Raw genomic sequence first — 11,684 nt, forward strand, 5'->3', positions numbered from 1 at the left:
TTTACACTCCCATCAACAGTGTAAAAGCATTCCTGTTTATCTGCATCCTTGCTAGCATCTGTTGTTTCCAGGCTTTTTAATGATTGCCATTCTAACTGGCATGAAATGGTATTTCATTGTGGTTTTGATTTGCATTTCTCTGATGGCCAGTGATGATGGGCTTTTTTTTCATGTTTCTTGGCTGCATAAATGTCCTCTTTTGAGAAGTGTCTGTTCATATCCTTTGCCCAATTTTTGATTTTTTTTTGTAAATTTGTTTAAGTTCCTTGTAGATTCTGGATATTAGACCTTTGTCAGATGGAGAGACTGCAAAAATGTTCTCCCATTCTGTAGGTTGTCTGTTCACTCTGATGATAGTTTCTTTTGCTGAGCAGAAGCTCTTCAGTTTAATTAGATCCTGTTCGTCAAGTTTGGCTTTTGTTGCAATTGCTTTTGGAGTTTTAGTCATGAAGTCTTTGCCCATGCCTATGTCCTGAATGGTATTGCTTAGGTTTTCTTCTAGGGTTTTTATGGTTTTAGGTTTTACATTTAAATCTTTAATGCATTTTGAGTTAATTTTTGTATAAGGTGTAAGAAAGGGGTCCAGTTTCTGTTTTCTGCATATGGTTAGCCAGTTTTCCCAGCACCATTTGTTTAATAGGGAATTCATTCCCCATTGCTTGTTTTTGTCAAGTTTGTTGAAAATCAGATGGCTGTAGATACATGGTGTTATTTTGGAGGCATCTGTCCTGTTCCATTGGTCTATATATCTGTTTTGGCACCAGTACAATGCTGTTTTGGTTACTGTAGCCTTGTAGTATAGTTTGAAGTCAGATAGCATGATGCCTCCAGCTTTGTTCTTTTTGCTTAGGATTGTCTTGGCTCTTTTTAGTTCCATATGAAATTTAAAGTAGTTTCTTTTATTTCTTTGAAGAAAGTCAGTGGTGTCCTCTCTTATTTCCTTGAGCAGTGGTTTGTAGTTCTCATTGAAGAGGTCCTTAACAGAATACAAGTCTGTTGGGGAAATGGAATTCAAATATAATTCCAAGGAGGAAAAGGAATTATGTAAAAATTACTTATTTAAACATGCTCTTTTTAGCTCATCATTGTTGGTCATTAGAGAAGTGCAAATCAAAACCACAATGAGATAGTATATCATGCCAGTTAAAATGGTGATCATTAAAAAGTCAGGAAACAATGGATGCTGGTGAGGCTGTGGAGAAATAAGAACACTTTTACACTGTTGGTGGGAGTGTAAAGTAGTTCAACCATTGAGGAAGACAGTGTGGCGATTGCTGAAGAATCTAGAACCAGAAATACCATTTGACCCTGCAACCCCATTACTGGGTATATACCCAAAGGACTATAAATCATTCTACTATAAATACACATGCACACATATATTTATTGCAGCACTATTTACAATAGCAAAAACTTGGAACCAACCCTAATGCCCATTAATGATAGAATGGATAAAGAAAATGTGGGACATATTCACTATGGAATACCATGCAGCCATAAAAAAGAATGAGTTTATGACCTTTGCAGAGACATGGATGAAGCTGGAAGTCATCATTCTCAGTGAACTAACACAAGAACAAAAAACCAAACACCACATGTTTTCACTCATAAGTGGGAGCTGAACAATAAGAACACATGGACACAGGGAGAAGAACATCACACACTGAGGCCTGTCAGGGGGTGGGGGGCAAGGGGAAGCAGAGCATTATGACAATTACCTAAGGCATGCAGGGCCTAAAACCCAGATAATGCGTTTATAGGTGCAGCAAACCACCATGGCACATGTATATCTATGTAACAAACCTGCATGTTCTGGACACATATTCCAGAACTGAACGTAAAATAAAATACAATAAAATAAAATAAGACTTAAACATAAGAATTGAAATCATGAATCCTCTAAAAAATAATAGGGAAAAAGCTCTTGACACTAGTTGTGGCAATGATGTTTTGAATCCTACACAAAGAACACAAGCAACAAAAGCAAAAATAAAAAAGTGGAACTATATCAAAGTAAAAAGTTTCTGTGCAATAAAGTAAACAATCAACAAAATATAAAGGCAATATATGGGATGGGAGAAAATATTTGTAAACCATATGTAGGATAATATGTTACTATCCATAATATATGTAATACTAATCAATATGTGAAAAAATGCACAGCAGAAAAAAACAAAAACCAATTCCCTGATTAACTGGGCAACACATCTAAATAGCCATTTTCCAAAGACATACAAATGGCTAGCAGGTGTATAAAAACATGCTCAACATCACTAATTATCAGAGTAATTAAAATCAAAATCACAATGCAATATCACCTTATCCTGGTGTTAGGATAGCTGTTATCAAAAAGTCAAAAGATAAAAAGTGTTAGAATGCAGAGGAAGAATATTTGTACACCGTTGCTGAGCTTGTCCACTGGTGCAGCCATTATATATAAAAAAAATTTTAGAGGTTCCTTAAAATTTTTAAACTAGAAGTACCATTAATCCCAATTCTGAGTATATAGCCAAAGAACATAGAATCAGTATCACCAAGGGTATCTGCACTCCTTTGATACAAATAAATGAATAAACTGTGTGTGAGACAGAATTTCAGCTTTAGTAAAGAATGCAATTCTTTCATTTACAAGAATATTAATAAACCTTGAAGACATTATGCTAGGTGAAATAAGCAAAATGCAGAAAGACAAATACTGCATGATCTCGTTTGTATGTGGAATCTGAAAGAAAAAGAAAGAAAGAAGAAAGAGAAAAGAAAGAAAAGAAAAAAGAAAAGAAAGGAAAAGAAAAGAAAGAAACAGAGAGTAGAATGGTAGTTACCATGAGCTATGAAGTGGGGAAAAGTGAGGCTCTATCCATTGAAGGGTGCATACTGTCAGTTATATAATGAAAAACTGCTGGGGACCTAATGTGCAGAATGGTGACTATAGTTAATAATAATTTGTACTTGAAATTTGTTACAAAAGTAGATCTGAGGTACTCTCACCACACACACAGAAATGCATAAAGTAGCTATGTGAGGGGATAGATATGTTAACTAGCTTAATTGAGATAATTTAGAGATGTATGCACATCTCAAAGCTCTCTATTGTACACCCTAAATATATACACTTTTTAATGTGTACATCATAGCTCAATAAGTGTGGAAAAAAATAAGAGTAATCGACAGGTCATGTCTAGCCACATGTAAAGTTTATTTAAAACTCTCTTGGCCACTGTTTCTGACTCAACCTAGGAATGGCCAGAGCGATTCTGGCCCCTTGACTTCTCCGAGGCTCCTCCCACTGTTCCTGTAGCTGGGGAAGGTGTAATAGTTCCCAGGAGTTTTCCAGGTTCCAGGCTGTGCAGATTGAGCAGGGCCATCAGCCATCCCTTTACTTGTTGCCCACAGCCCTGTTTGGCTCCAGGAAATGCATTTTAGGGTGTCCTGGCAGGGCCCACACCAGCCACCCAGGAGGAGGCTGCTTTTCCTGCCTGTACTCTTGTGCCCTCTGTCTCCTTAGGCGTCTGGTATGGCCCCAGCATAGTCCCTCCTCACATTACCAGTGAAGGCAATGTAACTTCAGAAGATACTGAGGAGGAAAATAAGAAAAAAAAATTGACTCCCATGTATTAGAGTAATTGTCATTAGATCACCTGTGTTGCAGGCAGGATCACACTTTGTCATTACTGCTGTAAAACTTGCTGCAATTGGAAGAGAAAATGATCTGGAGCATACTCTTTGAGTCCCTGAAGTTGGTGTCAGTAAGTTTCATGCAGAAATTTATTTTGACCAAGACTTACAAACTTATGTATTTGTAGATGAAGGCAGTCAAAATGGAACAACTAATGGAAAAAGTATTGTTCAGCTGAAAACTAAATGTGACCTTTATGTACCTGAGCATAGACGTGAAGTGGAGATTGGAGAGACTGGGTTACCCTTTTACATTCAACCTGGAAGTGATACCTGTGATGGCTGCGAACCACAGCAGGTTAGAACTCACCTTTGCCTTGATAAGAAAGATGAATTATTTATTGGTTCAACACTAAGTAAGGACAAAAAAGAGTTGGAAATAAGAAAATAATTAAATAAAATCTTAGTAATATATGGTTTACAGAATATACACTATGAAGAGGTATAGACATTGAAAAACCTAGAATATAAAGATACAGTTGGAAGACATAGTGAGCAGATTGGAAGTGAAGGAACTTTCCAAAGAGATGGTGCTCCTGCATCTGTTCATTCTGAAATTACTGACAGCAACGAAGGTCGGATGATGTTGGAGAAGATGAGGTGGTAAGAAAGAGAGGGCCTGGGGAAGGATGGTGTAGGAATGAAAACTCTGATTCAGCTTCAGCTTTGGCAAACACACGTAGGCCTGGGGACAGGCAATCCATCCTCAACTAAAGGTGTTCACCTTCTTCAAAACAAAAACAAACAAACTGGGACAAAGCATGAGATAGGTTTGATGAAAACTTCCCAGAAACTAAAACTTAAAAAGATGACCCAGGGACCATGCCTTAGGTAAAAGGGACTGTAGAGTGAAGTTTAATCATATAAAACAAAAATAAACAAACAAACAAAAACAAGCTTTTCAAAAAATAGAGTTTGGAAACTCTTATCTATTTTATTTTATTTTTTGCAAAACTCTTCTCCCCAAAAGAGTCGGTGGCACAGGGGAACTGTGTCAGTTTACCCCTTCCCGATTCAGAAATGTGTAAAAAAGCTTGCTTTACAGCTTTTCAAAACCATTTTTAAACTGATAAATAGTGACTGAATCAAGTAATACAGTAAGTGGACTAAAGTTTACAGGGCACAGATGAGTTTATCAAACTTCATGGTTTTATCTTGTCATTTACAACATCCCTATAAGCAAAAAGCCATATAAGCAAAACTAATGACCACTAATGACTTAAATGTACATTAGTTTTTGTCTCCATGTATTCACAGGAAGACAGCAAAAGAAACATCAAAAGTTTATAAAAATAAATCTGACTATATGCATCCTTTTTATGCCATTTAGAACCTGGATAAAAGAACCTCTTGCCTGGGCACAGTGGCTCACACCTGTAATCCCAGCACTTTGGGAGGCCAAGGCAGGGGGATCACCTGAGGCCAGGAGTTCAAGACCAGCCTGACCAATATGATGAAACCCTGTCTCTACCAAAAATACAAAAATTAGCTGGATGTTGTGGCATGTCATGTTGTAATCCCAGCTACTCAGGAGGCTGAGACAGGAGAATCGCTTGAACCTGGGAGGCGGAGGTTGCAGTGAGCTGAGATTGTGCCATTGCACTCCCGCCTGGGCAACAAGAGGAAAACTCTGTCTCAGAACAAAAAAGAACCTCATATACTCGAAATAGCCTAAATAATATTATTAACGAACTAATTAAAAGGTGACATATTGTAGAAAATCAGTCTGTTATTGTTTTCTTCTGTGAAGAATCTGTTTATTTGTACTACACATTCAGCATTTATATTTGGTTTGTATCATAGCTACTGAGATTTTTTTAGATATGAACAACTGAGTATAGTATTGATATAGTGTGCTGGTGTTTGTAGTTTTCATAAATATTATTGCAGGCAATGGAATTGCACCAGAGAAATCTGATTTCTAGTACAAAAGGAATACTTAGCCAGAGCCTCAAGTTTAAGATATTTATTGAAAATGTCCTCAGTTGCAATAAAAACATTATTACATTAAAAATGTTTTCAATAAATTCTGAATTAAACAAAAAATTCAAATGATAACTTTTATGGAGTTAGGGAAGTGCTAATGAGGTAGAATAGCAATTGAAGCCAAAAGATTTGAGTTCAGATAATTTTATCCATATTAGTTTTATGTTAAAAAAATAATTCTCACCATATACTATTTACTGCAGTGAAGTATTCCAGAAATTTGTGCATAACATAACAAATAATTAATTTTCTAATGGTAAAAAAGCAATCACATTCTACAAATTATTACCACGTGGTCTATTGAAAAGAGCAGTATTTCAAATGAAGAAACTTGGAATTTCTCATGAGATGGTGATCTATGCCATAGAATACCTATGTAAAATATTTTACTTATGTATGCAACTGTTGATATTTCTGCTTTTCAGGAAAATAACATGCTATAAAAACTTAATAAAGATAACTAAAATCACCAAGAAGTTACAAGAATTCACAAAATGCTTAATATAGTTGAAATAAAATTATGGAAACTTCTTAGGATCAGAAGTAGATAAAGGTAATGATACAGAGAAGCATTAACCTAAGAGGCCATTGCTCCATTCAGATGCATTTGATCACAAGGATGTCAAATCTATGTGGGTTGTTCAGCTTCTGACAAGGCAAATGGAATAAACATAGATAAATTGCCTGCTGTCATCTGGAGTGTGCTGTCTTTCATGTGTGAGAACTAAATTATAAATTATGTTGCACAAAGGAGATAAGCTACTAGTATGAAGCATTAGATAATATATATGGCACATAAAACTCAGATATGATGTTTATATTTAAGTGCTTGCCAATATAATGAAAAAAACAAGAAACCAAAATAATGTGGAAAAAACTTATGAGCTTGTCAAGTCATATTTAGAAAAGAGGCAAATGGAAAGTAAAGTATTGAAACTGTAGTAAAAAAAAGTTTAATGGATAGCATACAAATTACACATTAAAATAGACTGAGCTGATGAGAGAACTAGTAAACTGAAATGCTGAGCACAATTAATGTGGTTTTGTACTTTTTAGAAGGCAAATTAATACAAAATACAAATTATTTATATATGAAGATTAGATGAGAAGAAATGAAAAACAATTAATGGTTTTACTATACTATATAAACAGGAAGGCAATATTCAAGGAATCGGTGACTCATAAGCTTCAGAAATTGGAAACAAGACATGAATCCTATACAAGTTTAGAGTGTAAGGTGTCAAAAAAGATAAGAAATACTTAAATGATAGTTTTGGTTATTATGAATACTGCTTCAATAAACATGAGTGCAATTATCTTTTTGACATACTGATTTTATTTCCTCTTGATATATACCCAGTAATGAGATTGCTGGGTAACATATATGGTAGTTTTATTTATAATTTCTTGAAAAACCTCCATGCTGTTTTCCCTAAGGGTTGTACCAATTTACATTCTCATCAACCGTGTATAAGTGCCCATCTACAGATGAATGAAGTAAATGTTACACACACACACATATGCACACACACACGCATGTATGCATACACACACGCATGCAGGCACACACACACAGGAATAATGTTCAATAATAAAACAGAATGAACTTCTGTCATTTATGTCAACATGGATGAACCTAGAGGACATTATGTTAAGTGAAATATGCCAGTCACAGATTGAAAAAAGACCACATGGTACCACTCATGTGACATCTATAAAAGTTGATCTCACAGAAGTAGAGAGTAGAATGGTGGTTACCAGAGGCTAGGCAGCATGAAGGGGTGAAGAAATGGGGAGAGGTTTGTCAAAGTTACAAAGTTACAGTTAGACAGGGAGAATAAATTCTGGTGTTCTATTACCCCATCTTTACTAAAAATACAAAAATTAGCCAGGGGTGGTGCCATGCGCCTGTAATCTCAGTTACTGAGGCAGGAGAATTGCTTGAACCTGGGAGGTGGAGGTTGCAGTGAGCTGAGGTCATGCCACTGCACTCCAGCCTGGACAACAGAGCAAGACTCCGTCTAGAGAAAAAAAAAAGAATAATGATCAAACTACATGACACCAAAAAGAAGAAAAATTCTTAAAAGCAGTGAGATAGAAGACAGACAACATATGAAGCTGAGGGAAAACTCTTACCTTTGTATCAAGTCAGAAAACAGAAAAATTAATATAAATAAAATATTAAAAGCTTCTGGACAGCATACATATCTATTAACAGAGTGATAAGACAACCTATAACCTATAAAATAATAGAAAATATGTGCATCTGACAAGGAGTTAATATCCAAAATATATAAGGGACTCAACTCAACAACAATAAAAATCAAAAAACCCAACTAAAGAGTGAGCAAAAGACCTGAACAGACGTTTTTCGAAAGAAGACACAAAGAAATACTCGACATCACTAATCATCTGGAAAATGCAATCCAAAATCACATGAGATAGTACCTCACCCTATTTAGAATGGCCATTATCAAGAAGACAAAAGATAACAAGGTTTGATGAGGATGTGGAGAAAAGGGAACACTTAAACACTATTGGTGTGAATGTAAATTTGGTACATTTTTAGATTTATTTATTTATTTATTTAGAAACCTCTTGGAAAGCTATGAGGGTTTCTCAAAACAAAACAACAAAAAACAAAACAACAAAAACCTAAAAATAGAATTACCATATACTCCAGAAATTCCACTATTGAGTATATATCAAAAGGAAATAATATATTGAAGAGATATCTGCACTTCCATGTTTATCATAGCTCTATTGACAGTAGCCAAGATATGGAATCAATCTTAGTGTCCATCAAGGGATAAATGGATAAAGCAAATATGGTGTATACACACAATGGAATGAGATTTAACCACACAAATAATGAAATCCAGCGCTGCGCGCTGACATCGGCCTCTGAAGTGGTTGCCCCGCACTGGCTTCTGGCCTGGCCGTGGCCCCGACAGTTGGGCGTCCTGCAGCAGTCCCAACCTCAGGACTCCCTACCCTCCACCTCCAAACAGCTCGGGTCTTTGCGGTCGCGGCGGCTGCTGCTCCTGCTGCCTCACGTTGGAATTGGAGATGCCTTGTCCTGCTCTCAGGACAGAACCATGAAACCAGCAGCAGCGGCGGTGCACGATGCTCCCAATCCGTCGCCAGGCGCCGCCTCAGAGCCTGTGGCTGTTCGCCATCCCCGGAGCCGATGGGCCGCGTAGCACGGAGTTGCTCCTGCTGGCGGCGACCAAGGCGGGACTGGAGCGGCGGGACATCTCCGGGGAGTGGGTGAAGGAAGAGCCGCAGCCGCCACGTCCTCTCTTTCTCCGGGAATGTGCAGGATTACCGTGAAATTATGACTCGTCATCCTGCAAATTACCAATGGGAAAATTGGAGTCTAGAAAATGTTGCCACTATTTTAGCCCACCGGTTCCCCAATAGCTATATTTGGGTGATAAAAGTGCTCCTGAATGCATTTGCACAAATTCAGCTGCCATAATAGTTTTGTGAAAAGTAACGTGTTTGGTTCCCCAGAACACAATACTGACTCTGGAGCTTTTAAGCAGTTTTATATGTTATTAGTTAAGGCTTTTAAGTCATAATAGTTTAATCAAAGAAAAATTTGAATGATTGGAAAAAGGACTCCACAGCATCTAATTGTAGTGCGGTTCTTTTCATACTACAAATCGTTTCCAGGGAGAAAAAGAGAGGACCTGTAAAAAATCTGATGAGTCAGCCATGAGTTTTTATCCACCATCACTAAATGATGCATCTTTTACTTTACGGGATTCAGTAAAGGTTGTGTCGTTTTGAATCAATTTCTTTTTTAATTGAAAGAAGCCAAGAAAGACAAGAACATGGATGCTTTCATTAAAAGCGTAAGAACAATGTATTGGCTAAATGGTGGTCATTCCGGAGGAAGCAATACTTGGGTTACTTCACCATAAGTCTTGAAAGAATTTGCACAAACGGGGATTATTGTTCAAACCCATGTAACACTGTACTAAGTACATGATCCAATGGGATCTTGATTTGGAAAAGAGCAAAATAAATTTGTTTCGATACTTAGGGATATTGTTTTGCAGGTGACTAGCTGAGTTCATTTCACAAAGGAAGCTCCCTCCATAGAGAATCACTTCAGAGATCATGAAGTATTTTGAGACTACAAGTATATTAATGTACTTGTTCAGTGGAAGAGCATAAGCACTTTTCAGTATTTTAAATTCAGATAATGGAATGTAATTGATAGATGCATTGTCAGTTTGGGGGTATGGGGGGAAGCACACATTCCTCCAATATGAGTGTAATGTGCAATAGTATTTCTTGCTTGTGAATGTGAGCAGTTTTTAATTAGGATTGGGTTAAAATTAGGTACTTTGAAATCTAACACGGTGGTTTGTGATAATAGTGAGGAACTATAAGACCCTTAAAAAAGAAAGTTATAACATAGTTCTTGTAATAGGTAACTAAAATTGTTTCTTTACTAATTTTGGTGGCATTTTAACAGTAATTAGCTATTCTGTCACTTAAAACTTGAGTGGAAACATTTTACTTCTCTTCAAACAAAAGCACAGGCACAATGTTGTTTTGGAATAACTGTACCCTGCTTCTTGTGTTTTGTAAACTCAATGACTCATTCTTTAATATGCCACCAAGTACTTTTTTTAGAGAGTCAAAATACATTTGTTTCCCAATGTCCAAAAATTTGCAATAGTGTAAAAGTGGTTTTTAAAAACATAGCCAGGTGTGGTGACATATTCCTTTAATCCCAGCTACTCAGGAGGCTAAAGCAGGAGGATCCTTTGAGTCCAGGCTGTAATGCACCATGATTGTGTTTATGACCAGCTACTGCACTCCAGCCTAGGCAACGTAATGAGACCTCATCTCTAAAACAAAGAAAACAAATTCCACCTAGACACTATCGCTAATTTTTAATTGACAGTCTTTAGTTTATTATTTTGGATAAGACATTCTGGGGCTTCTTGAATCTTGCCCAAAAACCAGTTGTTTTGGAAAATCATTTTAAATTGAGCATATTTATAAATTTTGGATAAAAATGTACTACAGAGAAAATTTCACATTTTTCACTGTATTAGCCTTTTTTAAAGGGAACAACTTAGGCAAGATAAATATGTAATGCTCAATTTGTTCATGATCTGTTAAAAAGGAAACAGATTCCATATATCTAAATCAACTTTTCTCCACAATGATGACTTTGTCTGGGGAAAAAAAAAGTTATTCTTGGCCAAAATGCAAAATTACATTGCTGTAAGAAAAGTTACAAGGGAAAGTTTAAATATCATCCAGCCAGAGGCCAGACCCACATATGACAGTCACAATTTCAACTCTGAACTGCATTTTTGTGTGATTTAGAATCTCACTAGTGGACCCTGTCCATGTATGAAGGTGATAATCCTAATTGTTGGCTACATGTGTCTATGAGAGTTACAAGCTCACTTTTTGCTGGCCCCTGTTATGTAACTCTCTATACACCCCAAGGGCTTTATAACATACATGTGAAGGTCATAATCTTCTGTGACATTTTTACAATCAGTAGACCAGGGACCTTAGTTGTTGCCCTAATCCTAGTTGTTAGTCAAAGTTTCTTCTATCATATTCACGGAAACACATCATGTAAGAAAGGTACCATGTAAGAAAGGCATCATCACCTATACCTAGGCCAGACTGTTGCCTGGGCCTAGGTATATGTCACAATCCCACCTGTGAGCAGAACCAGGGAGGAAAGTCACATCACCTGAACGCTGGTGCAGGGAAATGTCAATATCCTTCTATGGGCAGGACCTACACAGGAAAGTCACATCACCATTATGCTAGGCTCAGTGATATGTCACAATGCCCACCGTAGGCAGAATGCAGTCAAAAGAGTCACATCACCTAGGTGCTGGGCCCAGCAATATGTCACCATCTCCCCCTGTTAACAGGACCCAGTCATGAGAGGAGAGTCATACTACATAGGTAATATTCCCAGATTTCTGTTACTGGAGGCAGGGCACAGGCAGGAAAGTAGAGTCTCATCACCC

The 11,684-nt window shown here is 37.0% G+C and overlaps 2 pseudogenes; both read left to right on the forward strand.

Moving 5' to 3' along the window:
* On the forward strand, positions 3,540 to 4,699 carry AGGF1P5 (angiogenic factor with G-patch and FHA domains 1 pseudogene 5; annotated as a pseudogene).
* Positions 8,564 to 10,942, forward strand: C2orf69P3 (chromosome 2 open reading frame 69 pseudogene 3; annotated as a pseudogene).

Source organism: Homo sapiens, chromosome 16 (assembly GCF_000001405.40).
Source record: "Homo sapiens chromosome 16, GRCh38.p14 Primary Assembly".
Taxonomy (NCBI): Eukaryota; Metazoa; Chordata; class Mammalia; order Primates; family Hominidae; genus Homo; species Homo sapiens.